The following is a 27,964-nucleotide window of genomic DNA, read 5'->3' as shown; positions in this document are numbered from 1 at the left end:
ATGGCCAGGCGCAGTGGCTCACGCTGGTAATCCCAGCACTTTCTGAGGCCAAGGCAGGTGGATCACCTGAAGCCAGGAGTTCGAGACCAGCCTGACCAACATGGAGAAACCCCGTCTCTACTAAAAATACAAAAATTAGCCAGGCGTGGTGGTGTGTGCCTGTAGTCCCAGCTACTTGGGAGGCTGAGGCAGGAGAGTCACTTGAACCTCGGAGGCGGAAGCCACAGTGAGCTGAGACCGTGCCATAGCACTCCAGCCTGGGCAACAAAAGCGAAACTCCATCTAAAAAAAAAAAAAAAAAAATTAGCCAGGCATGGAAGCGCATGCTGTAGTCCCAGCTACTCAGGAGGCTGAGGCAGGAGAATCACATGAACCTGGGAGGCGGAAGTTGCAGTGAGCTGAGACCGCGCCATAGCACTCCAGCCTGGGTGACAGCTAGACTCCGTCTCAAAAAAAAAAAAATTCTGTGGGTAGCCTTCATTCCTCCCAAAGCAAATCTGAAGCTATAATCCATGAAAAGAATTGCAACCCATTAAGCTACTAATTAAAACTGGTACATAACAGCAAGTTCGAGTATCAGTTTCACAGGCATGTCAGCAGGTTTTCTGTTTAATATGTTTTAAAATTAATTTCAGCTAAAACATGAGGAATAATCATTTTGCTCTTCGAGCCTGATATTAAAAATTTGCTTTTAATGTGAGGGAAATATTTTTTAAATTAGACAATTCATATCAATTCATAAACTGAAATAAGATGTTATTCTGAACTCTTAATTGTGTAGCCTTTAGCTATTTTATTTTAAATCAAAGACAGAGCTTCCCAGCACCATAATGAACATCAGAAGAAAAGCCCAGTGCCCGCACTCAGCACAGTCCAGTCGAACCACAAAAAAATCTTTATCAAAGATCTTCACTTTGGGTTCCAAATTACTCAAGACACGTCAGTATTGGGCATTATTGGAATTTAAATAACAAACACTTTTCAAATGACTTGGGAAGGAGGAGAGGAAAGATCACTGCTGCTTAATACATTTTATTCAGGTCTGTCATTACACTTGCGTGAGCATTCATGGGTGAGGTTTTATTTGCAGGAGGAGAAGGTCTTCCAGAAGAAGTTCCTGCAGGGCATTCTGTCCCGGCGCGCAGATTGCTGGGGGGGTGCGCCTTCCTGCCGCCTGGCCACCTCCCGGGCTTCCTCTCCTATGAGGGGCCCGGCACTGGCCTGGGAGGTCCACTCAAACCACCAAGCGAGGAAAGTCAGGAGGCTGCTTTTCCTTATTCCTGCCGCTTCCTGCATATGCTTTTAAAGAGAAGCAGATGGCAAAGGAAAGAAAACTCAGCAATCTGGCTCAGGCAGCAAGCATTCAAAGATATGCAATCTCCTCCTTACTTAAAAAAAAAAATGATCTAAAAGACTACCCTGGAGAAAAGAGAAAGAAAATATTAAAATGAAAAGATGCTCCATAGCGATAAGCCTCATTTCCATTTAACGGATGAGGATGAGAAAGTGAAGAGAATACCTTAAAGAAATTGCTTTAATTAGAGAAAAGTTGGTCATTTTAAGTCAAGGGAAGAAACCTGGTTTTGCTCCATACTCTGCTAAGGTCCTTAATTAGGAGAGGTCGGGAAATCTGCCATTTTCCCCTCAGTGACTGGCAGCTGAGAAGCCCGGAGTTGGATCAGGCTAATTTACTCATTCTCCCACCTTTGGCCACACTCCTGGATGTTCACAAGTTGCTTTCTGAGACGATGGGACTGAAACAAACGTTATATTCTGGTTTTTCAAATTCCTTAGAAAGCTTCTGGGAGTAATCTGCTGATAAATGGCCTGCCTGAAACTCATCTGGTAATTTTAGAGAAAAATCCATTTTTAATGCTCAACTTTATATACCCTTTCTTGGAACTTTCTCAAAATGGAAAAAAGAACAATCAATCACCTCACGAAGTTACAAATTCTCACAACGGAAAATGTAATGATGCCAATTACTCTGAGCCAGTGGGAGCCTGTGCTATGTATAACTGAAGGCTCTGGAAGGGCTGTCGCAGCTCCATGCCTGCCCTGCAGTGGACGGGTACACTCGCTTCCCCTTTCCCAGACACCCGACGGAGGGCCCTCCTTGAGCTGCACAGGTTTCCAGCAGGCTTCATGGGTTGGGACATGTAACTGAGGATCAGTGGTCTGAATGCGGCATCCCAGTACCTCGGGCCAGCCAAGAACACTACAAAGTTGAGCCGTGTGTCCTGTCCAAGCTGTGAAGTGCAACACACGTGCACACACACACACCATGCAGGCCAAAAAGCCAACAAGAGACAGAGAGTGGGCTAGCGTGTGGCCACGTCGGGACTGTACTCACCTCGCTGTCTCGGCCGGTGGGGCCACCCTCCAGGGGCAGGGCAGCGGTGGCCGTGGCCCCGGAGAGCAGCAGCAGCAGGAGGCCGGGGGACAATGGCATCTTGTGGGCTGACTGGAGCTTCTCTCCCACCCTGCTGCTGCTCTTCCTTCCTGGCAGCCCTGAAATCAATGTTTTGGGGACTTGGGTCTCTTCTTTGGAGCTTGGTGGGTATTTTAAGCCCAATCTCCAGCTGTTTTTGTGTCTATACATGTCTAACGCCTGGATCCTCTTCCCTCTTCCCTCGCGCAGTGACGCAGAAGCTGGAGCAATCAGTGCCCACAAAAGCGCTCTGGGGTTGGATGTAACCCCTTAATTAAAGCTTCAGGTCTTTTCCTGTGTTTAGAGCGAATTTGCTCTTATTTTGGAACGCATGTGCGCTTGCTTCTGGAGAAGTTCTGCTTCCTCGTAATTATGCCTATAGCAGGCAGGAAGCCGTGAGAACAAAAACAAGTGATTTAACATAATATAAAATTAGCCTAGGATAAGGAGCTTGAATGTGAAATTGTGCCCATGTGAAAGTATGACTGAAACTCATCCAGTAATTTCAGAGACATTCTTCTACTATGGGCAGAGAAACAAGGAGGCAATGGGGGCTCAGAGACGCTACGATCGTATCCGCTGGTTTCACCCAATTGTCGGCAAGGAGGCCCCAAGAATCGCTCCCAGTACTGCCTCTCAGCCCAGCATGCCAGACCCACTGTCCTCTAGGCCAGGCCTTCTCAAACTGAAGTGCAGACGGATCACTTTGCAGGCAGGTCCTGATGCACTGGGGCAGGGAGGAGTTGAGAGCTGCATTTCCAACAAGCACCCAGGCACTGCTGGCCCTGGGGCAGCCGGGCTCTGGCCCACCCAGGCTGGGGTGCAATGGCGCGCTCAACTCACTGCAACCTCCGCCTCCTGGGTTCAAGTGATTCTCCTGCCTCAGCCTCCCGAGTAGCTGGGATTACAGGCACCCGCCACCATGCCTGGCTAATTTTTGTATTTTTTGTAGGGACAGGGTTTCACCACGTTGGCCAGGCTGGTCTCGAACTCTTGATGGTCCAGTGTTTTCTTTTTTTGAGATGGAGTCTCGCTCTTGTTGCCCAGGCTGGAGTGCAATGGTGTGATCTCGGCTCACCGCAACCTCTGGCTCCCGGGTTCAAGTGATTCTCCTGCCTCAGCCTCTCGAGTAGCTGGGATTACGGGCATGTGCCACCACGCCTGGCTAATTTTGTATTTTTAGTAGAGACGGAGATTCTCCATGTTGGTCATGCTGGTCTCGAACTCCCGACCTCAGGTGATCCACCCACCTCGGCCTCCCAAAGTGCTGGAATTACAGGTGTGAGCCACTGCCCCCAGCCTGGACCAGTGTTTTCTTTTTGTTTTTGGATGGAGTCTCGCTCTGTCACCCACGCTGGAGTACAGTGGCATGATCTTGGCTCACTGCAATCTCCATCTCCCGGGTTCAAGCAATTCTCCTGCCTCAGCCTCCAAGTACCTGGGACTACAGGCGCTGGCCACCATGCCCAGCTAATTTTCTGTATTTTTAGTAGAGACAGAGTTTCACCATGTTAGCCAGGCTGGTCTCAATTTCCTGACCTCATGATCTGCCCGCCTTGGCCTCCCAAAGTGCTGGGATTACAAGCGTGAGCCACCGCGCCCGGCCTGGTCCAGTGTTTTCTAAACTGCTCCTGACCACCCACTTGTGGGTCATAGGCCAGTACTTTCCTTTCGAATGAAATTAAAATTAGTGTGCATCACCCGTAGTAAGGATAAATAATGATTCGCATTGTGTGTGTCAGGTGTGAGATGTGCTGTTACTGCAGGGCACAGTCAGTTTGGGAAGCAGTGCCCGGCCCTGCCCTTGGCCAGCTCCCAGGGCTCTCTCTCCTCCTGAGGCTGGCACCACTGCTGAGAGTGCAGACCATGGAGTCCCTCTCTGTGCCACCTGCTGGTTCTTCCTCACAGGCCCTCATTGCTGAATCACACAGACAAATGCACAGACCCCTTTGCCCAACGAGACACCGAGTAAAATCTGAAACATCCACCCAAACCTGCTACAGATGACCAGCATCCAAGGCAAGGCTATAAATTGAGGTAACGCAACCCAAAACTGCCGGCACTTTCTAGAAGTGAACATGTTTGTTTTCAGTTTTCCAAAGTCCTGGTTTACACCTTCAGCAGGGAAATCTCAATCTTGAATTTGTCACAGTCTTTTTGCTTATGTTAAAATCCTAGGTAAGATCAGCATGGCCTGCTGGCCAGAGGCTTATACATCGTATGTTGCTTCATCTTTTATTTATTTTGTTTTTTGTTTTTTTTTGTTTGAGATGGAGTCACTCTGTTGCCCAGACTGGAGTGCAGTGGCTCGATCTCAGCTCACTGCAAACTCCGCCTCCCAGGTTCACACCATTCTCCTGCCTCAGCCTCCTGAGTAGCTGGGACTACAGGTGCCCACCACCACGCCCGGCTGATTTTTTTGTATTTTTAGTAGAGATGGGGTTTCACTGTGTTAGCCAGGATGGTCTCGATCTCCTGACCTCGTGATCCGCCCGCCTCGGCCTCCCAAAGTGCTGGGATTATAGGCATGAGCCACCGCACCTGGCCCATCTTTTATTTCTGTACCAAAATAATTCCCACAAATGACACTAAAAATTTTGAGTTATATTTGCAGATGAGACATTCACAGCAGTTCAGCCAGCTTCTTTTTGTTTTTGAGACGGAGTCTTGCTCTGTCACCCAGGCTGGAGTGCAGTGGCACAACTTCAGCTCACTGCAACCTCTGCCTCCCAGGTTCAAGGGATTCTCCTGTCTCAGCCTCCCAAGTAGCTGGGATTACAGGCAGGAGCCACCACGCCCAGCTAATTTTTGTATTTTTAGTAGAGATTTCACCATGTTGGCCAGGCTGGTCTCAAACTTCTGAACTCAAGTGATCCACCCATCTCAGCCTCCCAAAGTGCTGGGATTACAGGCATGAGACCACCACACCCGGCCTCACCAGCTTCCTATATCGTTAGTCTAGTGTGCCAATTTTATTCAATGAGCTCATTAAACATTCTGAGCACCCAGTATGGAACTTGCAATACCACAAGGGACCCACACCACCCACACCCTGACAGAGGTGTTGCAGCCTCAAAGAAATCGGATACATAGACACAAATGAAAGACAAGGACATTTTTCAGTGCGAGAAGAAGTGTGCAAAGGGGAATGTGCTGCAAATTGGGGAAGGCTTCATGAGAACTGATAATGACTGTTTCAAGAAGGTGACAAACTTTAGGAGGTGGAGACAAGAGGATCACTTAAGCCCAGGAGTTCAAGACCAGACTGGGCAACATAGCAAGACCCCATCTCTACCAAAAAAAAACAAAAATTTAGCCAGGCATGGCAATGCACACCTGCAGTCCTGACTACTTGGGAGGCTGAGGCGAGAGATTCGCTTGAGCCCAGGAATTCAAGACCAGCCTGGGCAACATGGCAAAACTCCATCTCTACAGAAATTAGCTGGACGTGGAGGCACATACCTGTGGTCTCAGCTACTTAGGGGGCTGAGGTAGGAGGATCACCTGAGCATGGGAGGTCAAGGCTGCAGTGAGCCAAGATTGTGCCACTGCACTACAGCATGGGTGACAAAGTGAGACTTTATGACAAAAAAAAAAAAGAAAAAATTTAGCCAGGTGTGGCAACACACACCTACAGTCTCGGGCACTTGGGAAGCTGAGGCAGGAGGATTGCTTGAACCCAGGAATTCGTGGCTGCAGTGAGCTGTGATCATGCCACTGTACTGCAGCCTGGCTGACATAGCAAGAGCCCATCTCAAAAAAAAAAAAAAAAAAAAAAAGGCCGGGTGCAGTGACTCATGCCTATAATCCCAGCACTTTGGGAGGCTGAGGCAGGAGGATCACTTGAGCCCAGGAGTTCAAGACTAGCCTGGGCAACATGCAAAACCTCACCTCTACCAAAAAAAAAAACAAAAAAAAAAACTAGCTGGACATGGTGGCACACACCTGTGGCCCCAGCTACTTGGGGGGCTGAGGCAGGAGGATCACCTGAGCTTGGGAGGTAGAGGCTGCAGTGAGTCAAGATTGAGCCCCTGTACTCCAGCATGGGCGACAAAGTGAGACCTTGTCTCAAAAAGAAAAGAAAACTTAGCCAGGTGTGGTAACACACACCTGCAGTCTTGGGTACTTGGGAGGCTGAGGCAGGAGGATTGCTTGAGCCCAGGAATTCATGGCTGCAGTGAGCTGTGATATACCACTGTACACAGCAAGAGCCCATCTCGAAAAAGAAAAGAAAAAAGAAAAGGCCAGGTGCAGTGACTCATGCCTATAATCTCAGCACTTTGGGAGGTTGAGGCAGGAGGATCACTTGAGTCCAGCTCAGGAGCTTGAGACCAGCCTGGGCAACATTCTGAGACCCTATCTCCACAAAAAAAACTAAAAAATTAGGCAGGCATGGTAGCGCATGCCTGTAGTCCCAGCTACTCAGGAGGCTGAGGCAGGAGGATCACTTTAGCCTGGGAGGTGGAGGCTGTAGTGAGTCATGATTGTGCCACTGCACTCTAGTCTGGGTGACAGAGTGAGACGCTGTCTCAATGAAAAAAAAAAAGCACAAAGTCTCTGAAAGTTATACAGCTACTAGGGTTGCAAACCCAAGAAGCAAACCCAGATCTTTCAACCTTTGGAAAGTCTATAGTATCTATTCCCTAAACTCTTCTTGATGAGTTTTATTATTTATTTATTTTATCTATTTTATTCTACTTTATTTTATTTTATTTTGAGACTTAGTCTCACTCTGTCACCCAGGCTGGAGTGCAGTGGCACAATCTCGGCTCACTGCAGCCTCTGCCTCCTGGGTTCAAGCGATTCTCCTGCCTCAGCCTCCCGAATTTATTTTATTTTTTAGAGTCGGGGTCTTGTTCTGTCACCCAGGCTGCAGTGCAGTAGCACAGTCACCTCACTAAAGCCTTGAACTCCTGGGATCAAGCAACCGTCTGCCTCAGCCTCCTGAGTAGCTAACTGGGTCTACAGGCATGCATCACCATGCCTAACTTATTTTTTACTTTTTTTAGAGATGGGGTCTCACTGTGCTGCCCAGGCTGGTCTCAAACTCCCAGACTCAAGTGAATCTCCTGCCTCAGCCTTCCAAGTTGCTGGGACTACAGACACAAGCCACTGCACCTGGCCAATAAGGAGTTTAAAGAGTGCTTATCCAAAAATGAAACTGCTAACATACGGGCCTTTGGCTGAACGTACTAGGATGGAAGGCTTTATGATTCACTTTTCATTCACTGATATGACACACAGATACTATAATTAACATAAGAACAAGTGCTGAGCCATTTGCAGATCCGAAACCATGAAGTGTGAACTCGGTGCCCTACTCCGGCCATAGCTTAGTGCCTCCCTTTGAGAGTCAGGCTTTGGGGTATCTTTTGCTGATCATATTTGGGCACAGGTGGTGTAAATTCTACTCCAAATGAATGCCGTTTTCTCTCACCCATTCTACAGTGAGCAGCCCCAAATGTGAACACTGTCTCTTGACTATGGCTGGGTGACCCTGGGCAGCTGGTGAACCTCATCAAATTTCCATTTGCTCATGGGGAGAAGGTGGAGAATCAGATCCACACCGATCAAGTTGTGGAGATCGGTGGGGTAATACACGGAGTATCCAGTGGGTGCCTGGCACACAGAAAGGGCTCCACAAACCCTTGCCCCTTCTCCTCACCATATTGCCGAAGGGTAAAGGGAAAGGCATGTCTGGACCTCTAAGAAATCCAAAGGCATGAGAAGACAGTAGGACGGGCACCCTTGGGAGCGTTTTCTCTCACAAACTAAAACAGGATGACATGCCGAAGTGTTCTGATCTAGCAGTCCCAGATTTCCCCTCAGGCAAAACTTCCCTGAGCAGAACCATAGCTTTGTTGCAAAATAGAGAAAAGTCACAGACAGCCAGGTGCAGTGGCTCATGCCTGTAATCCCAACACTTTGGGAGGCCGAGGCAGGAGGATTGCCTGAGGTCAGGATGTTCAAGTCCAGCCTGGCTAAGATAGTGAAACCCTGTCTCTACTAAAAATACAAAAATTAGCTGGGCGTGGTGCCACACACCTGTAATCCCAGCTACTCAGGAGGCTGAGGCAGGAGAATCGCTTCAACCCAGGAGGCGAAGGTTGCAGTGAGCTGAGATCACACCACTGCACCCCAGCATGGGCGGCAGAGCAAGACTCCCTCTCAAAAAAAAAAAAAAAAAAAGTCACCTAGAGAAAATCACTTTTAAAAAGTAAAGGCTGGGCTGGGTGCAGTGGCTCATGCCTGTAATCCCAGTACTTTGAGAGGCCAAGGCAGGTGGATCACAAGGTCAGGCGTTCAAGATCAGCCTGGCCAAGTTGGTGAAACCCCGTCTCTACTAAAACTACAAAAATTAGCTGGGCGTGGTGGCGGGCACCTGTAATCCCAGCTACTCAGGGGGCCGAGGCAGAGAACTGCTTGAACCTGGGAGGCAGAGGTTACAGCGAGCCGAGATCACGTCACTGCACTCCAGCCTGGGCAACACAGCGAGACTCCATCTCAAAAAAAAAAAAAAAAAAAAAAACAGTAAAAGCCGGGCACAGTGGCTCACGTCTGTAATCCCAGCACTTTGGGAGGCCGAGGCGGGTGGATCACAAGGTCAAGGAGATTGAGACCAGCCTGGCCAACACAGTGAAACCCCGTCTCTACTAAAAACACAAAAATTAGCCAGGTGGGGTGGCGTGCTCCAGTAGTCCCAGCTACTCAGGAGGCTGAGGCATGAGAATCGCTTGAACCCGGGAGGCAGAGGCTGCAGCAGTGAGCCAAGATCACGCCACTGCACTCCAGCCTGGGCGACAGAGCAAGACTCTGTCTCAAAAAAAAAAAAAAAAAAAAAAAAAAGCACAAACACACAAATTAGCTGGGCATGGTGGTGCATGCCTGTAGTCCCAGCTGCTTGGGAAACTGAGGCAGGAGATCGCTTGAACCCGGGAGGCGGAGGTTGCAGTGAGCTGAGATCACGCCATTGCACTCCTGGCAACAGAGCAAGACTCTGTCTCACACACAAAAAAGTAAAAAATAATAAATAAAAAAATAAAAAGGCTGGGCGCAGTGGCTCACGTCTGTAATCCCAGCACTTTGGGAGGCCAAGGTGGGTGGATCATGAGGTCAGGAGTTCAAGACCAGCCTGGCCAAGATGGTGAAACCCTGTCTCTACTAAAACTACAAAAATTAGCCAGTCATGGTGGCAGGTGCCAGTAACTTAGCTACTCGGGAGGCTGAGACAGAGAATTGCTTGTACCCGGGAGGCAGAGGTTGTAGTGAGCTGAGATCGTGCCACTGCACTCCAGCCTGGGTGACAGAGCAAGACTCCGTCTCAAAAAAAAAAAAAAAAAAAAAAAAGTCAAAAGGGCCATTCCCAAACATATGCCCTTTTACCTGGTGACCAAAGGCGGCATGTGTTTAAAAACAACATTAGTAACCAGAAAAGCTAAATAAATATAGCTTTATTCATCTTTCAGAGATTGCCATTTAGCCTAGAAAATTACATCAAAAGATGAACTGATTTTTGCTTGAAAAAGTCAACCATGTTTAATTGCTCACACAATTTTAATTACAACAGATGTAATTTCTAATATATACCATTTGATCACACACCATTTTTATGTTCTGGAGTGAGACCTGGGAGTATTTTGCTTAAGACTTTCTCATTCTCTAAAACTAGCTTTGGCAGTTAACAATGTGGAGAATTCAGCACAAAAAGCACCCTAGCCCAGCCTTTTTATTTTATTTTTTTAAATCTCTATTTAACCCTTCAAAGTTTCCTTTGCAGCCATATGCATTTCTAGGTGGCTCTACCTGTAGAAGGCTGCACTTTCCAAGCGGCGAGGGACTTTAATTCTCACTTTCCACCACTCCAGCCTCTGCTGGCTGCCTTGAATTTTTGCTTCCATCCTCTGACTTCTTTTTCTTCTGTGCTTTTCGTTCTAGGTTAATCTGAGCAATCTCTTCACTTTTGTCTGTGATGTATTTTAGCTATAAAAAAAAAATCTGTATTTATATCTGGCTGTAACCATTTTATAAACCTAAATAAACAAACAAACGAAACTAAACCCTCCACAACCACCTCTGACTCAAAGAATTTGGGTAGAAAAGCCAAAGCCTGGGTTACATTTCTAAGAATTAAACGCAGCTTCAATTTTTTTTTTCTTTTTTTTTAAATTTTTTGTAGATATGAGGGTCTCACTATGTGGGCAGGCTGGTCTCAAACTCCTGGGCTCAAGCCATCCTGCCTTGGCCTCCCAAAGTTCTGGGATTATTGGCATGAGCCACTACACCTAGCCAATAAGTTGTGTTATTAAGAGTTGTGGCCAGAGGTCGGGTGCGGTGGCTCACGCCTGTAATCCCAGCACTTTGGGAGGCTGAGGCAGACAGATCACGAGCTCAGGAGATCGAGACCATCCTGGCTAACACGGTGAAACCCCGTCTCTACTAAAAATACAAAAAATTAGCCAGGTGTGGTGGTGGGTGCCTGTAGGCCCAGCTACTCGGGAGGCTGAGGCAGGAGAATGGCATGAACCCAGGAGGCGGAGTTTGCAGTGAGCCGAGATCACGCCACTGCACTCCAGCCTGGGCCACAGAGAGAGACTCCATCTCAAAAAAAAAAAAAAAAAAAAAAAGAGTTGTAGCCAGGTGCGGTGGCTCATGCCTGGAATCCCAGCACTTTGGGAGTCCAGGGCAAGCAGATCATTTGAGCCCAGGAGTTTGAGACCAGCCCAGGCAATATGGTGAAACCCCGTCTCTACAAAACATACAAAAATAGCCGGGTGTGGTGGCATGCACCTGTAGTCCCAGCTACTTGAGAGGCTAAGGTGAAAGTATCACTGGAGCCCAGGAGACGGGGACTGCAGTGAGCAATGATGCGCCACTGCCCTCAGCCTGGGTGACAAAGTGAGACCCCGTCAAAAAAAAAAAAAAAAAAAAAAAGTTGTGGCACATGCCTGTAATCCTGGCATATAGGGAAACCAAGGCGGGAGGACTGCCTGAGCCCAGGAGTTCAAGACCAGCCTGGGCAACAGAGAGAGACTGCATGTCCAAAATTTAAAAAAAGAAAAAAAAAGTTGTGAGCATTAAATAATATACGTAAAATAGTATCTGGAAAAGCCCCTGTAAACTGCTATACAAATTCATTCACTCAACAACTATTTATTGAGCCCTTCCTGTGTGCCAGGCACACAGGTGCGTTCTAGGCAACACAGATGGAGAGAGAACAAAGAGACAAAAGCCCCTGCTCTTGTGGGGCCCACATTCTATCACAGCCATCACGTGCTTTAATGTCTAGCATTACACTCAGTCAGGAAAGCTCCCCGCTGTCCTGGCTCTGCTACTGGCCAAAGCCACTAGCCTGGGATGACCAGAGTATCTCTGGGTCTTCACCTGAACAACGGAGGCTTGGTCAAATGATTTCTAGACTTGAAAATATGGAAAATGTGTTTTCCTGCATATCCAGCCATACGGAAACTCCGTCCATACCTGGCCTATTCGGAGAACTGTGAATACAATAACAAAACTATCCCTGCAGATTGGCCTGTGACCAGTCTCTGACATCATGTTGTAAATGAAACATGGGACCAAAGTTTTGAGGTATTACAAAAACAGGCAAATTGTAAAATCCAGAGAGTGCTGATTAGAAAATTTCAAATTGGCTTAGCAAGATCCATCATAATGAAAGCAAGACTGTAAATTACAGGCAGGTCTGAATGGTTCAGCCACCTCTAGTTTCTAATGCAAGGTGCCCTGGGGAATAACTTCATGGCTTCAAGTGATTGATTGGGAATAATGTATTCCGATGGGAAAGGGGAGTGAGGAAAGAAATTCATCTCTCACCAGTGAATTACTCCTCCTGGCTAAGAGCTTCACATCTTCAGTGTTAATTGTGGTTCTTTTCGCATGTCTGCAGAAAGGGCAGAAGCAAGTCACCAAAATGTTTGGTATTATTTAAAGTTTTGATGAAACACAGAAGTTCACGGTCAGACTTCAAACTAGCAGGGATCTCTAAGTAGCCCATCCTTTTAGATAAAGGGCATTAAGCAAAAGTGACACAAAAATTAGTGAAGTTCCTAAGACCCCAATTAAGTAAAGAGATGGAGAATGCGGAGGCCCATCTCTCCACCTCCGCTTAGGGCCAAGGGTACCCGAAGCATAAGAGCACAGACAGGAGGCTGGGGGCTTAGCGCCCTTCCAAACCTGGCTTGCTTGGCCACAGCTAAGGCCACAGAAAAATCAAGAAGGTCAGTGTACAACTCTAGTGCAGAGAAAATGGGCCTCATGATACAGAGGGCACCTGCTTAAATAGACATTAAATAGAAGAACAAAGAGAACCTCCACAAAGGATGGCTTTACTTAGGTCAAGATCCTGATGTTCTCCAAGGGCTAACTTAACAGGAAAAAGCATATGCAGGCACCTCCTAAGGCCCCATTCCCAACAAGTAGTTAATGCATTCCCTCCGCAATAACCCAGGTAGAACAAAGAACATCCTTCTTTCTTCTTTTTTTTTTTGAGACAGAGTCTCGTTCTGTCGCCCAGACTGGAGGGCAGTGGCACGATCTTGGCTCACTGCAACCTCCGCCTCCCGGGTTAAAGCAATTCTCTGCCTCAGCCTTCTGTGTAGCTGGGATTACAGGCGCCCGCCACCATGCCCCACTAATTTTTTTGTATTTTTAGTAGAGACAGGATTTCACCATCTTGGCCAGGCTGGTCTTGAACTCCTCACCTCATGATCCAGCTGCCTCCCAAAGTGCTGGGATTACAGGCGTGAGCCACCAAGCCCAGCCACAAAGAACACCCTTTAAACTGGAGTCTGCTTCTTGCTCACAAGTTGGACTCAAATTCTCATTCTAGTCCTTTTATCTTTGCTAGGAAAGGTAATTTGAGATAATAAGCTCGATTCAATAATATATTACTCTGATTACACCCTTCTTCCATTTCTAACTTCCCCACAAAATACACAGGTACTTTGTAAGCAGGAATAAATAGGAATCTTTGCATCCTTAATAACTAGCAAACTGGCCAGCACACATGGTGAGTCCTCACTGAACAACTGCTAAGTTAAAAGATAAATTCAACACAGAAATTATTCTCCATAATTTGGCCAAATTAATCCTTTACATTCTGCTAAATAGACAAATATCACGTGTCATCTCATCGTGATTGACAATATCTGCTTGTCATGACATTAATACCCACTTCAAGAGATAATTTTCTAATTAGCAACCTGCAAGGACCAGGACACAGGGGAGAAAAAAGACAGAGGTGACATAAAAGCAGCCACAAAGAATGAGGTCAGTCCACAGACGTTCTGGGTGGAGAATGTTAAGTGCACATGGACAGGGTGGCCTAGTCTCAACCTCACAACCAGGCTGCTCTGTCTGTATTTACATTCTTCTTAAAGTACAGTAAAAGGAATAAGCACAATGAACTGTTTACATAGTGAACTTATCTGTTTACGAGAAAGCGTTTAGGAAACAACGATCTCAGTCCTCTCCACCACTTCAGCTTGGCCTCTGCTATCTCTGCACTAAGGCCCTCAATGGAGGGGCAGGGCATCCTCTGCCCGCCACTGCATATCACAGACTCTCCTAAGTCAAACCTCCAACTCCAGAAAATTACTCTAGCTAGGGAAAATCAAAAGCAATTTTTCATATAACACGCTTTGTAACACGGGCTTTAAAGACGATTCCCAAAAGTTTCCAGAATGTATTTCCTATAGAATATCTATCTTCTTCAAAATGTTTGATTGTTAACAATACTAGGAGACTAGAGATTTCAAAGCTAAATAAAGAAATTCACAACTCAGGCCAGGTGTGGCGGCTCATGTCTATAATCCCAGGACTTTGGGAGGCCGAGGTGGGTGGATCATTTGAGGTCAGGAGTTCGAGGCCAGACTGGCCAACACAGTGAAACCCTGTCTCTACTACAACGACAAAAATTACCCGGGCATGGTGGTGGGCACCTGTAATCCCAGCTACTTGGGAGGCTGAGAAAGGCGAATCGCTTGAACCCAGGAGACGGAGACTGCAGTGAGCCGAGATCACACCACTGCACTCCAGCCTGGGTGACAGAGTGAGACTCCGTCTCAAAAAACAAACAAAACAAAACAAAACAAAAATTCAGATTGGCAGTTGCTTTCCAAAGTCTGCTAGTGAATTGATTATTTAGAATTTAATTGTGTATTCTCTGGCCAGGCATGGTGGATCACACCTGTAATCCCAGCACTTTGGGAGGCCGAGGCAGGCGGATCACCTGAGGTCAGGAGCTTGAGACAAGCCTGGCCAACATGGTGAAACCCCATCTCTATTAAAACCACAAAAATTAGTGGGTGTGGTGGCATTTGCCTGTAGTCCCAGCTACTCGGGAGGCTGAGGCAGGAGAATCACTTGAATCCGCAAGGCAGAAGCTGCAGTGAGCCGAGATTGAGCTGCTGCTCTCCAGCCTGGGCGACAGAGAGACTCTGTCTCAAAAAAAAAAAAAAAAAAAAAAAATTGGCCAGGCACAGTGGCTCATGCCAGTAATCTTAGCACTTTGGCTGGCCGAGGTGGGTGGATCACCTGAGGTCATAAGTTTGAGACCAACCTGGCCAACATGGTGAAACCCCGTCTTTACTAAAAACACAAAAATTAGCTGGGCATAGTGGCAGGCGCCTGTAATCCCAGCTACTTGGGAGGCTGAGGCTGGAGAATCACTTGAACCCAGGAGGCAAAGGTTGCGGTGAGTTGAGATCGCGCCATGGCAATCCAGCCTGGGCGACAGAGTGAGACTCCATCTAAAAACAAAAAACAAAAAACAAAAAAAAAACAGCCCCTGCTCTCAAGTTTCCCTCCTGCTCCAAAAAAAAAAAAAGAAATAAGAAATAAGAATCTAAATGTGTATTCTCATAGAAATTTCTCATAACAAGCTCACCAAAAAGAAAAAAGATGCCAGGCACAGTGGCTCAGCTCATGCCTGTAATACCAACACTCTGGGAGGCCAAGGTGGGAGGATCACTTGAGCCCAGGAGCTCTAGGTTGCAGTGAGCTATGATCCTGCCACTGCACTCCAGCCTGGGTAACAGAGAGATCCTGTCTCAAGAAAAAAAAAGAAACAAGAAACAAGAAAATAAATTTGTCCTAATGAAACAATGTTACGAATACTCATTAGGTTCCCAGGCCAGCCTACAGAGACTATGTAACATATAGTTGACTTGAAACAGTCCATCTTTCTCAAACTGGGGTAATGATAGTCTTGGGAGTAGAGAAGTGTGACAGGGACAACTCAAATCCACAAGATAACCAAAGCTGACCTTCCAGGAATATCAATTTTATTCAGGGATAAAACAATGCTTTTTTGTATGAAAGCAAACTGGAATTCACACAAGATGAGTCTTCAAAGGAAACCTGTACTTGTGGGTTGTGCTAAGAAGAGGGGGTGCTTCCCTGCCTCTGGCTGCACCCCAGACTCCTGGAGCCTCATCACTGGACTCTGCACTCACTCAGTTCTCAGACAAAGCGTTTCCACAAACTTTTTTTTTTCTTTTCTTTTCTTTTTTTTTTTTTAAAGAGACAGAGTCTCACTCTGTCACCCAGGCTGGAGTGAAGGGGCACGATCTCGACTCACTGCAACCTCCACCTCCCTGGTTCAAGCAATTCTCCTGCCTCAACCTTTTGAGTAGCTGAGATTACAGGCGCATGCTGCCACGCCCAGCTAATTTTTTTTTTTTGTATTTTAGGAGACAGGGTTTCACCCTGTTGCCCAGGCTGGTCTCGAACTCCTGAGCTCAGGTGATCCACCCGCCTCAGCCTCCCAAAGTGCTAGGATTACAGGCGTGAGCCACGGCGCCCGGCCTCCACAAACACTTTTACATAAAAGATGTCGCCCTTCCTTGTGGAGCTTATGGTCTAAGTCACACACACATACACACACACACTCACATGCACGCACATACCCCTTTCCCCACCAGTACCCAGCAAAAGAAAATCAACTGTTTGCCGGGCGCGGTGGCTCAACGCCTGTAATCCTAGCACTTTGGGAGACTGAGGCAGGCAAATCACTTGAGGTCAGGAGTTCAAGACCGCCCTGGCCAACATGGTGAAACGCCATCTCTACTAAAAATACAAAAATTAGCCAGATGTGGTGGTACATGCCTGTAATCCCAGCTACTCAGGAGGCTGAGGCAGGAGAATCACTTGAACCCAGGAGGCAGAGATTGCAGTGAGCCAAGATTGCACCACTGCACTCCCGCCTGGGCGAGAGTGAGACTCTGTCTCCAAAAAAAAAAAAAAATCAACCTCTTATATACTTTAAAAAACACAGAATATCCGAAAGCCTAATGTGTTACCATGCTCTTTCTAATTTCATTTTTTAAATAGAATTTTTACAGAAGTATTTTCAGGCTGGGCATGGTGGCTCACACCTGTAATCCCAGCACTTTGGGAGCCCAAGGCAGGATTGCTTGAGCACAGGAGTTCAAGACCAGCCTGGGCAACATACCAAGACGCTGTGTCTCTAATATAAATATTTATGTATATGTGTGTGTGTGTGTGTGTGTATATATATATATATTATTTTTAAGTATTTAAATTTTTCATTTTTTTTTCCCACAGCTAATAAATAACAAGTAAAGGTATTAATATCTTTCACCGGGGAGGAGGGCCACACATAAGGGGCATCTGCCTGAATCAGCAATGACTAAGCCACATGAGCTATCGGTATCCCTTCCTACTACCTTATCCCTTTTGGCCAAGCTGAAGATGCTAAGCGGTTTTCAGGGACGAATATCCACAGGAATAGGACAGATTGAGAGCTTGCCCTCCGAGAACCCACTGCTTTAATTCATTCAAAACACGCACCCGAGAAACAAAGAGCTAACGGGAACAAGGTGAAAAGTAAGGGGTGTGGGAGAGGCTGGCACCGAATCCAAGTGGCAGCAAATTAGAACACTTTCGCCCTTTCAGGCCTTCGTCATTCAAATTGCTTCATAAAAGCAATTTGGTGCAATTGTTTTCAATTACCTGCGGTACTAATTGAAGAGCGGAGCATAAATCACCTGTAAAAGCTGAGGCTTTAGCAGCTGAAAGCAAGTCACCCACTTTCCAAGGAGTGCGTCTTACTCGGAACAAATGCGGCAAATGAAAACCCCTGCCTGCCATTCTGTGTACACCTGCAAGCAATTACCACCGTGGACACGCTGCAGCTCCCTCCGCAGAGGGGCGGCCACCCCCAGGCACCATGTTCTCAAACCCTGAGCAATCAAACCACCCGAAGACATGGTTTTTAATACAGGCACCAGCATTCAGGGTCCTGGAGATGGTATTCACACCTTTTTCACTTGGGACTGAATAACTTGGGTTCTTTAACAAAAAATACTTGGAAAACTTCAAAAAATGTTCAAATAAGTGTGAATCACCGTGATTGAAGGAGGCGTCATGTTCTTGCAGAACCATGATTAGAGACAAGCCTCCACAAAACACACGGAAAACTGAATAGCTAAAGCTCTCCTGAAATAACCCACCAGATGGAGAGGCCCCAAAAAGCTACACAGACGCAGTGTCGGATAATCAAGTTCTCTACCCACCTTGCAAACATTTCAAGGTCTTTGGCAAAATTTTCTGAAAGAGAAAAAAAAGATACACACTTTAGGCACCCTCCCATCTAATTTCAGAAGCAGAAAAAGTGAAGCCTTGATTTCTACAGCCAGTACAGTGACTTGACTAATATAACAAACCCTCTTAAAGGTGAAAGGAGGCATTTCCAGCAGCCCCACCATTCCATAAGAGCCTGTAGCTTTTTATTCATGACGATCTCCTTGTCCTTCCCAGAGCCCTTCACCCTTCATGGCAAGTCTTCCGTTAATTGTGACTATGCCTTTGGTTTCTAGAAACTATCCTTTAACTTCTGCTACAGTTAAGGCTTGTGAGGTCTTTCATTTCCCCTCTGAAGTCAAGCAAATACCAATGCTACAAGCTCAGCTGTCAAAGAAACTATGGGTGATATAAAAACGTTATAAAGCACTGAAATAAAGAATTTAATGTCTAATGTTCTAGCCATCAGGGCAGTTTAAAACAATAAAATAAAGGCGTTAATGCCCCAGTGTTAGTGTAATAGGAAAAAAATAGTTCTTCCCATAAAATATCCACATCTCACAGCCAAGAAGAGAAGTGTTTCACGAAGAACGCATGAGGATGATAATATTCTTGGTCTGCTGGTCAGACTCGCCACAGCTCCCACCCACGCACTGCTCCCAGGTGAAATCAACCTTTGGGGTTTACAGACATGGCTGGGGAGGCCGAAGCTTCATACCACACTGTCGGAAAGTCAGCTCCGAAATGGCCGCAATGGTCTGTTTGCTGAACTGCATCTCTTTGTCCAATGCAACTTCCTCGCAAAGACAACCCACAGTATAGTGAACTGCTGCCTTTAGCCTCTGGGGAAAAACATCAAAATATTTCACGGGTAAGGCTGCAAATAAGAGCTTTTCACGCCTTAAAAAATGAAGACCAAGGAGAGGGTCTGCTCAGCCCAATCCCTCTGGCGCTTTCCATAATGGCTGAGTGGCTTTTCAAGTGTACTAATAAGTTAATGAGACCCACTGGAGTGCGACTTGTGGAAACATTACTTCCTTGTTAATGGTTATGATTTATGTCAGGTAAAGATAAGAAATTAGATGGCAAGTCAGTGGGGAGACAGGTCAGACTGATGCCTGCCAAGGCCCTGAGTGGTTTCACTCACTTATTCCAAACTATCTGCAGAGCTCCAACTCAGTAAGGGCATATGCTAGGTGTTTGGGAAACAATGAAAAACCGGGCAGGGAACTTTGCCCTTAAGGCAGTTAATCAACAATACAGAAGGATCCCATCCCTCTGCTGCAAGCCCCTGGCAGCCCCAGGCCTGCACGTCACAGAGGACAGAAGTACAACACGGGAAAGGCTCAAGAGGGCACACCCACCCCTCTCGATTTGGAGGGTTGGGAGGCCACCTCCACGGGGCCCTCACTGCTCCTTGGCAAACCTTTTCAATACTGAAAAAGATCTCTCCACCCCTTGCAGAAAATTACCGAGAGGGGAGGATGAGCCTCAATTGCAAGACAAGCTAAGCAATGGTCTCAGCCACGTGTCGACAGAGTTCTGTTGAGCCCACCTGTGGGTACTCCGCCTCGGGGCCGAAGACACAGCTGAGCTGCACGTGATGACAGCTGAACCCACAAGGGCATAAAATCTACCAGCAAGTGTTCAACGCATAGGCAAGAGGAGGAGGAACTGCCAAAACCCAAGTCCAGGAACTCAGGATAGAGGCCAGACAGATGAGGAGGGCATCTACTTTCCTGAATTTCAGACCTCACAAGACTAGGTAAGCTGAGGCCTCTGGTAGGAGAAGCCAAAGAGGCATCAACCTGGGAGGCACGAAGATCACAGGTGTGATCACTGCACACTACAGCCTCGAACTCCTGGGCTCAAGTGAACCTCCTGCCTCAGCCTCTTGAGTAGCTGGGACTACAGGCCCACAACACCCTGCCCGGCTCAAGGTCATCTTTTTTAGGTATGGGTGGGGGTCAGGGTACAGGACATGAATTCTTCTGAATGCTCTTGGCTCCAGGAATTTTTCTCAGATCTTCCTCCTCCTCCTCCTCCCCTCCCCCTGGCTGGGCTGGGGTATCACTGCACTTAGAGGCTAAATCACTAAACTCCTCAAGGGCAGGACCCTGTCAATTTTGTTCACTGCTGCCTACCAAGTGCCTAGAACAGTTGGTTACATGAATGGGGGGAAATCGTCTACAAGCTAATCACAGCTGAGGGGCAAATTTCTCAGCCCATCTTTGCAGCTTCATCAGTAAGCATTTGTTGGTCTATTGAGAGCCAGGCTCTGTTCTAGGGACTAAGAACAGGCCGGGCACAGTGGTTCACACCTGTAATCTCAGCATTTTAGGAGGCCAAGGCGGGCAGATCACTTGAGGTCAGGAGTTCAAAACCAGCCTGGCCAACATGGTGAAACTGTCTCTACTAAACATACAAAATTAGCTGGGCGTGGTGGCAGGGGCCTGTAATCCCAGCTGCTCAGGAGGCTGAGGCAGGAGAATCTCCTGAACCTGGGAGGTGGAGGTTGCAGTGAGGCGAGATGGAGCCACTGCACTCCAGCCTGGACAACAAGAGTGAAACTACGTTTCAAAAAAAACAAAAACCAACCAAAAAAAAACAGGGTAGGCAGGACCAAAGATGACTAAATGCAATGCACCATCCTTAACTGAATCCTGGATGAAGGAAAAAAGACAGTTAAAAGAAACATCTTTAGGACAAGTGGGGGCACTTGACAATGCACATTCAATAGAGTTTTATCAAAATTAATTGTCCCACTTCCTGAGTGGGACAATTTATTGAAATGATGTAGTAGGAGAATGCCTTTTTTTTTTTTTTTTCTGAGATGGAGTCTCGCTCTGTCACCCAGGCTGGAGTGCAATGGTGCGATCTCGGCTCACTGCAACCTCCGCCTCCCGGGTTCAAGCGATTCCCCTGCCTCAACGTCCCGAGTAGCTGGGATTACAGGCACCTGCCACCACACTCGGCTAATTTTTGTACTTTTAGTTGAGAGGGGGTTTCCATGTTGGCCAGTCTGGTCTCGAACTCCTGACCTCAAGTGATCTGCCCACCTCGGCCTCCCAAAGTGCTGGAATTACAGGCGTGAGCCACCGCGCCCAGCCAATGCCTTGTTTTTGGGAGATGTGTACTAAAGAATTAAAATGTAAAGGCGAAGTGTCAAAATATCTGCAATTAATTCTCCAATCGCGGGGCTGGGAGGGAAGCATGGGAGCAAACAGAGCAAAATGCTAACTAGTGGTGAATCAAGGTGACGGGCATCTGGGCATTCTGTACCGTGTTCTTGCAACTTTTCTGAAGGTTTGAACTTCTCAAAAGACAAGGGGCAGGGTAGACAGCTGCTGCAGTGTAACTTTGTAGAGAGGAAACTCCCGCGTCTGGAGCTCATTCCCGCGTTTCTTCAGTCCGTCCTCTTTAAGGTCGCCACTCCGGGTCTTGCTTTTAAGCCTCTTCACGGCAACGTTCTCAGCCTCTGACGCCCCATATGCCCGGCGCTGATGAAAGGAACGAATGGGATGCCCGCAGCTACCCTGACAAGTGATTATTCTTATGACGATTTTGCAGAGAAGAAAATTGCGTCTGGGCCGAGTCGATACGATCACAAGTTGGCGGGGCAGAGATTCGAACCCACATCTAAGGACGAGCTCTGGGCCTGACTGGTCCGCACCGCGTCCCTGCATCAGTAACGAGGGGTCGACGCCTCCAGGGCCAGCGTTCCAGAGCTCCGGCCCGAACCGCCCACCGCGTACGGGCGTCACCTGGAATGTCTAATGCCGACGTTGTACCCTCACGAAAACCCCATCTGAGAAGGGGAAACCGAGGATTCATCGCAAGGCCAGAAGGTGGCCTCTCGCCGCCGGACCCCGGCGCCCGCACGCTCCCCTAGAACCGCTTCCTCCCCAGCCAGCGCAGGCCAGGGTCCAGCCGCGTTGCCGCGGAAACCGCCTCCCAGCACCACCCGCGGCAGTTAAGCCAACGCATGCGCAGCCGCGGGGGGCGCCCGGGGGCGGGGTGCCGATGAGAAGCCGCCGGGGGCTGCCGGGTACTTTTCTGTCCAGAAACTCGACGCCGTCCTGCCCCAGCCCAGCCCGACCCCCGTTTTCCTGTACCTGTTGGTAAGAGAATCGCTGCTGCTCCTCGGTCTCCGCCTCCTCCTCCATCACTGCGGGCCGACCCTGGGCAAACGCAGGAGGGCCGAGAAGGGGCGGTGGTGCGCGGCCAGGTCGGATTTTCCCGCCGCGGCGCGAGCGACGGGCCGCGCGGGCGGACAAAGTACGCAGCTCCGCCCTGCCTCGCGCGCCCCCTGGCGGCGCTCCGTTGAGGGGATTCCGCCGTCGGCCTCCAGCCAGCCCCCTGCTCAGCTTGCTCTGCGGAGGTGGCCGGGCGACGCGGGGACATGACCACCGAGGTCACTGCTGCACCCCAGAGCCTGATTCAGCGCCTGGCACAACGCTGAGCACCACTCTCCGCGAAACACGTGTGCGCATAGGTGCAAAGCGTGTTCCAGTCGGGTGTAGAGGATGCGTAGCCCACGATTTACAGATCATGTAACGCAGTACACATTATCAGGAGCTCCATGCACCTGTACCTCAGGTGTATCTTGCAAAATCGACCATCAACTTTATCATTCTATCACCAACAATAGCGTCACAAAGACTACAATGAGTGAACGACCCGTGACCTCATTCAGCGAGTGGAACAGGAACTGCGTTGTTGCCATTGGCAGGAGTATAGTTCTGACACAAGTGTTACTGTTTTTCCTTTATGTTAACGATGAAGTGAGACCATCAAACCCAATTTTGGTTTGTTTTTATTGTAGTTTTTTGAGAGGCAGGGTCTCACTCTGCCGCCCAGGCTGGAGTGCAGTGGCACCACCAAGACTCACTGTAACCTCCACCTCCTGGGCTCAGGTGATCCTCCCACTTCAGCCTCCCAAGTAGCTGGGACCACAAGCCTGCATCAGCGCACCTGGCTAATTTTTATTTTTTGTAGAGACCAGGTCTCACTATGTTGCCCAGGCTGGTATCAAACTCCTGGCTTCAAACAATCATCCCACCTCAGCCTCCCAAAGTGCTGGAATTACAGGTGTGAGCCACCATGCCCTGCCTGTATTTCTAGGTTTTTGTTTTATTATTTTTTATTGCCTATATTTCTGTATTCTGCATTTGTCACAAGCAGGTGCTACTTTCAGAACGAAGGAAAGCACATAAAGCCACTCCTTGTCTTCCTTTCCCAGGGACGTCCCTCAAGTTCCCTAAGCTTGCCAGGGGCTGAAACCCAGATCAAAGCTTTTTGGAGGAATCAGCCTTCTGAGGACTTTCCTCTGCATCTGCTCAGTGGGTGGCATCTGGAAATGACAGGCACTTCTCGCCTCTGTCCACTGCTCTCTGTGGGCATCCCAGTCTACCTGGACAGTCCTCCTGCCCAAGCAGGGCAAGCCTCTGACGGATTCCCCTAATGGGCAGCATGGGGCTGGGCAGGGCAGGCCATCCAGAGTGAGACCAAGCCTGCAGCAGGAGAGAAGGCCGGTCGCTGGTTGGTGAGCAGCCCCATTTAGAGCACACTGTGGCTGCAAAGCCCAGCTCCCTCCCTTGAGCCTGGTGACCCCAAGCAAGTCACAGGACGTGGCCAAGCTTCATGTCCCTTATTTATCAACTGGGGACAGTAGTTCCAACTTCACAGGGCAGGTGTCAGGTTTTAAACAATTGCCTCACATAAGAGCTAAAGAAATTGTAACAATTCGTCCCAGGAAGTTCCTGTGCTTTGTACCTGTGTGTTCCCTCATTTTAAAGCAGTTGCTTCCCAGGATTAAAGAACAGTATTCCAGTGACATGTGTGCAATACAGAGGCACTTAAGAGCCTCAGAGGCTAGGAGCAGTGGCTCATACCTGTAATTCCTGCACTTTGGGAGGCCGAGGCAGGTAGATCACTTGAGGTGAGGAGTTCAAGACCAGCCTGGCCAACATGATGAAACCCTGTCTCTACCAAAAAATACAAAAATTAGCCAGACATGGTGGCACATGCTTGTAATCCTAGCACTTGGGAGGCTAAGGCAGGAGGATTGCTTGAACCCGGGAGGTGAAGGTTGCAGTGAGCTGAGATCGCACCATAGCACTCCAGCCTGGGCAACAGAGCGAGACTCTGTCTCAAAAAAAAAGGTCTGAGAAATAGGTCGAGGGTTGAGGTATTCATTACAGAAAATGGAACTGGGTGTGGTGGTTCAAGCCTGTAATCCCAACACTTAGGGAGACCAAGGCAGGAGGATCACTTGAGCCCAGTTCAAGGCTATGGTGAGCCGTGATTGCCCCACTGTTTTCCAGCCAGGGTGACAGAGGGAGACACTGTCTCTAAAAAAAATAATGAAAAAAGGATATATTAATATTTGGTTGAAACTTACTTGATGAAGAAGTAGCCCTATAATCTGGCCACTAGATGTCAGTGTTGCACTACAGCGTGAAGCAAGGCCAGGGATGCCCGCTGGCAATGTTGCCATGACACTGAGCACTTTGCACTTGTCCTCGCTCTAGGCACTCATTTAATATCTCATCTGCCCTCAAAAGTAGGTGCTGTTAGCCCCATTTTACATGAGGAAACAGGTGAAAGAACTCTGCCCAAGGCTAAACTACTGGGAAGTGATAGAGACCAGATTTGATTATTAGGCTGGTTTCCGAGTTTCCGGTTTATCCACTGCCCTCACCATAAATAAGACAAAGACCTTGGTGGGTTTCTTTAATCCTTTTCATCTGCATTAAGGAGGGTTCCATAAATATTTAGTTCAGCCGGGCGTGGTGGCTCACGCCTATAATCCCAGCACTTTGGGAGGCCGAGGCAGGCGGATCACCTGAGGTCAGGAGTTCGAGACCAGCCTCAACATGGAGAAACCCTGTCTCTACTAAAAATACAAAATTAGCCAGGCGTAGTGGTGCATGCCTGTAATCCCAGCTACTCGGGAGGCTGAGGCAGGAGAATCGCTTGAACCTGGGAGGCGGAGGTTTTGCGGTGAGCTGAGATCGTGCATTGCACTCCAGCCTGGGCAAACAAGAGCGAAACTTGAAGGGGTGGGTTGCCCCTCCACACCTGTGGGTGTTTCTCGTTAGGTGGAACGAGAGACTTGGAAAAGAAAAAGACACAGAGACAAAGTATAGAGAAAGAAATAAGGGGGCCCAGGGGACCAGCGTTCAGCATATGGAGGATCCCGCCGGCCTGAATTCCCTTAGTATTTATTGATCATTCTTGGGTGTTTCTCGGAGAGGGGGATGTGGCAGGATCATAGGATAATAGTGGAGAGAAGGTCAGCAGATAAACACTTGAACAAAGGTCTCTGCACCATAGATAAGGTAAAGAATTAAGTGCTGTGCTTTAGATATGTGTACACATAAACATCTCAATGCCTTGAAGAGCAGTATTGCTGCCCGCCTGTCCCACCTCCAGCCCTAAGGCGGTTTTCCCCTATCTCAGTAGATGGAACATACAATCGGGTTTTATACTGAGACATTCCATTGCCCAGGGACGGGCAGGAGACAGATGCCTTCCTCTCGTCTCAACTGCAAGAGGCGTTCCTTCCTCTTTTACTAATCCTCCTCAGCACAGACCCTTTACGGGTGTCGGGCTGGGGGACGGTCAGGTCTTTCCCTCCCACGAGGCCATATTTCAGACTATCACATGGGGAGAAACCTTGGACAATACCTGGCTTTCCTAGGCAGAGGTCCCTGCGGCCTTCCGCAGTGTTTCTGTCCCTGGGTACTTGAGATTAGTGAGAGGTGACAGCGTGCTGGCAGTCCTAAAGCCCTCGCTCGCTCTCGGCACCTCCTCTGCCTGGGCTCCTACTTTGGTGGCACTTGAGGAGCCCTTCAGCCCACCGCTGCACTGTGGGAGCCCCTTTCTGGGCTGGCCAAGGCCAGAGCCGGCTCCCTCAGCTTGCAGGGAGGTGTGGAGGGAGAGGCGCAAGCGGGAACCAGGGCTGCGCGCGGCGCTTGCGGGCCAGCTGGAGTTCCGGGTGGGCGTGGGCTTGGCGGGCCCCGCACTCGGAGCAGCCGGCTGGCCCTGCCCGCCCAGGGCAATGAGGGGCTTAGCACCCAGGCCAGCGGCTGCGGAGGGTGTACTGGGTCCCCCAGCAGTGCCAGCCCACCGGCGCTGCACTCGATTTCTCACTGGGCCTTAGCTGCCTTCCTGTGGGGCAGGGCTCGGGACCTGCAGCCCGCCATGCCTGAGCCTCCCACCCACTCCGTGGGCTCCTGTGTGGCCCGAGCCTCCCCGATGAGCGTGGCCCCCTGCTCCACGGCGCCCAGTCCCATCGACCACCCAAGGGCTGGGGAGTGTGGGCGCATGGCGCAGGACTGGCAGGCAGCTCCACCTGCAGCCTGGTGCAGGATCCACTGGGTGAAGCCAGCTGGGCTCCTGAGTCTGGTGGGGAGGAGGAGAACCTTTATGTCTAGCTCAGGGATTATAAATACACCAATCGGCACTCTGTATCTAGCTCAAGGTTTGTAAATACACCAATCAGCACCCTTTGTTTAGCCCAGGGTTTGTGAATGCACCAATCGACACTCTGTATCTAGCTACTCTGGTGGGGCCTTGGAGAACCTTTGTGTCTAGCTCAGGGATTGTAAACGCACCAGTCAGCGCCCTGTCAAAACAGACCACTGGGCTCTACCAATCAGCAGGACGTGGGTGGGGCCAGATAAGAGAATAAAAGCAGGCTGCCCAAGCCAGCAGTGGCAACCCGCTTGGGTTCCCTTCCACGCTGTGGCAGTTTTGTTCTTTGCAATAAATCTTGTTACTGCTCACTCTTTGGGTCCACGCTGCTTTTATGAGCTGTAACACTCACCGCGAAGATCTGCAGCTTCACTCCTGAGCCAGTGAGACCACGAGCCCACGAGAAGGAAGAAACTCCGAACACATCCGAACATCAGAAGGAACAAACTCCAGATGCGCCACCTTAAGAGCTGTAACACTCACCGCGAGGGTCCGCGGCTTCATTCTTGGAGCTAGTGAGACCAAGAACCCACCAATTCCGGACACATTAGGGAGTGGTGATGACTCTTAACGAGCATGCTGCCTTCAAGCGTCTGTTTAACAAAGCACATCTTGCACAGCCCTTAATCCATTTAACCCTGAGTTGACACAGCACATGTTTCGGAGAGCACAGGGTTGGGGGTAAGGTTACAGATTAACAGCATCTCAAGGCAGAAGAATTTCTCTTAGTACAAAACAAAATGGAGTCTCTTATGTCTACTTCTTTCTACACAAACACAGTAACAATCTGATCTTTCTTTTCCCCACAAAACTCCGTCTCAAAAAAAAAAAAAAACTGCACTGTAAAATGTCAATACAAAAATCAATCTTGGCTGGGCGTGGTGGCTCATGCCTGTAATCCCAGCACTTTGGGAGGCCGAGGCGGGTGGATCACCCGAGGTCAGGAGTTTGTGACCAGCCTGGCCAACATGGTGAAACCCCATCTCTACTAAAAATACAAAAATTAGCCAGGCATGGTGGTGCACGCCTGTAATCTCAGCTACTAAGGAGGCTGAGGCAGGAGAATCGCTTGCCCAGGAGGCGGAGGTCGTAGTGAGCCAAGATCATGCCATTGCACTCCAGCCTGGGTGACAGTGAGACTACATCTCAAAAAAAAAAAAAAAAATCAATCTCCATTTCATAGGTTTATTCAAGAGAAGATAAAAATTTAAAAATAATTATCGTTAAATATTATATGTATCCTGTAAGCACATGAGGTCAGGACTTTGGACTTCTCTCACCCCGACAGAGGGTACCTAGCACAATGCTTGGCACATGGTAGGTGTACCATAAACATGCCGAATGACTGAATGAGTGGGGCGATGAACTGTGCACGCCGACAGGTCAGTTTCATGATTAAGTGTATGGACTCTGGCACCAGATCTCTGGGGTTCAATTCCAGTTCTTCAGTAGCTCTGACCTTGGACGAATTACTTAATATCAGTGTGCTTC

At 48.6% G+C, this 27,964-nt stretch overlaps 3 protein-coding genes across 8 annotated transcripts, besides 6 other annotated features; all 3 read right to left on the bottom strand.

Moving 5' to 3' along the window:
- Positions 1–522: 522 nt before the first annotated feature.
- Positions 523–22,243, bottom strand: CENPS-CORT (CENPS-CORT readthrough). 5 transcript variants are annotated; one of them, NM_001270517.2, is made up of 6 exons: positions 22,108–22,243; positions 18,711–18,834; positions 17,986–18,019; positions 12,263–12,329; positions 10,235–10,411; positions 523–1,299 (listed from the first exon to the last, which is right to left on the bottom strand). In NM_001270517.2, the coding sequence occupies exons 1-5, from the start codon at positions 22,156–22,158 to the stop codon at positions 10,271–10,273; spliced, it is 417 nt and encodes a 138-aa protein (NP_001257446.1). In that variant the 5' UTR covers positions 22,159–22,243; the 3' UTR covers positions 523–1,299; positions 10,235–10,270. The 5 variants fall into 5 exon arrangements, 4 of the variants coding, with proteins under 4 accessions (NP_001257446.1, NP_940946.1, NP_950171.2 ...); NM_198544.4 differs by lacking the exon at positions 10,235–10,411; NM_199006.3 differs by lacking the exons at positions 10,235–10,411; positions 12,263–12,329.
- CORT (cortistatin) lies at positions 678–2,645 on the bottom strand. Its single transcript, NM_001302.5, has 2 exons — positions 2,354–2,645; positions 678–1,299 (listed from the first exon to the last, which is right to left on the bottom strand). The coding sequence occupies exons 1-2, from the start codon at positions 2,450–2,452 to the stop codon at positions 1,081–1,083; spliced, it is 318 nt and encodes a 105-aa protein (NP_001293.3). The 5' UTR covers positions 2,453–2,645; the 3' UTR covers positions 678–1,080.
- Positions 9,868–22,243, bottom strand: CENPS (centromere protein S). Of its 2 annotated transcripts, none has more exons than NR_036462.2 (5): positions 21,275–21,926; positions 18,711–18,834; positions 17,986–18,019; positions 12,263–12,329; positions 9,868–10,411 (listed from the first exon to the last, which is right to left on the bottom strand). NR_036462.2 is itself a non-coding variant. In NM_199294.3 (5 exons), exons 1-5 carry the CDS (start codon positions 22,156–22,158, stop codon positions 10,271–10,273), a joined length of 417 nt encoding a protein of 138 aa, NP_954988.1. In that variant the 5' UTR covers positions 22,159–22,243; the 3' UTR covers positions 9,868–10,270. The 2 variants fall into 2 exon arrangements, 1 of the variants encoding a protein (NP_954988.1); NM_199294.3 differs by lacking the exon at positions 21,275–21,926 and adding an exon at positions 22,108–22,243.
- Positions 18,940–19,520: an enhancer, noted in NCBI's record as "H3K4me1 hESC enhancer chr1:10493213-10493793 (GRCh37/hg19 assembly coordinates)". NCBI's record gives its function as "activates a minimal SCP1, AML or CMV promoter by ChIP-STARR-seq in primed H9 embryonic stem cells {active_cell/tissue: H9 hESC(primed)}" and the evidence as "EXISTENCE:reporter gene assay evidence [ECO:0000049][PMID:30033119]".
- Positions 21,596–21,645: an enhancer, noted in NCBI's record as "active region_148". NCBI's record gives its function as "activates an Ori minimal core promoter by ATAC-STARR-seq in GM12878 lymphoblastoid cells {active_cell/tissue: GM12878}" and the evidence as "EXISTENCE:reporter gene assay evidence [ECO:0000049][PMID:35858748]".
- Positions 21,896–22,145: a silencer, noted in NCBI's record as "silent region_246". NCBI's record gives its function as "represses an Ori minimal core promoter by ATAC-STARR-seq in GM12878 lymphoblastoid cells {active_cell/tissue: GM12878}" and the evidence as "EXISTENCE:reporter gene assay evidence [ECO:0000049][PMID:35858748]".
- Positions 24,310–24,604: a silencer, noted in NCBI's record as "tiled region #15261; HepG2 Repressive DNase unmatched - State 8:EnhW". NCBI's record gives its function as "represses a minimal TATA promoter and a strong SV40 promoter by Sharpr-MPRA in HepG2 cells {active_cell/tissue: HepG2}" and the evidence as "EXISTENCE:reporter gene assay evidence [ECO:0000049][PMID:27701403]".
- Positions 25,559–26,164: an enhancer, noted in NCBI's record as "H3K27ac-H3K4me1 hESC enhancer chr1:10486569-10487174 (GRCh37/hg19 assembly coordinates)". NCBI's record gives its function as "activates a minimal SCP1, AML or CMV promoter by ChIP-STARR-seq in naive H9 embryonic stem cells {active_cell/tissue: H9 hESC(naive)}" and the evidence as "EXISTENCE:reporter gene assay evidence [ECO:0000049][PMID:30033119]".
- Positions 26,165–26,770: an enhancer, noted in NCBI's record as "H3K27ac-H3K4me1 hESC enhancer chr1:10485963-10486568 (GRCh37/hg19 assembly coordinates)". NCBI's record gives its function as "activates a minimal SCP1, AML or CMV promoter by ChIP-STARR-seq in naive H9 embryonic stem cells {active_cell/tissue: H9 hESC(naive)}" and the evidence as "EXISTENCE:reporter gene assay evidence [ECO:0000049][PMID:30033119]".

This window comes from Homo sapiens, chromosome 1 (assembly GCF_000001405.40).
Source record: "Homo sapiens chromosome 1, GRCh38.p14 Primary Assembly".
Lineage (NCBI taxonomy): Eukaryota > Metazoa > Chordata > Mammalia > Primates > Hominidae > Homo > Homo sapiens.
This window is presented reverse-complemented; position numbering and strand designations above follow the sequence as displayed.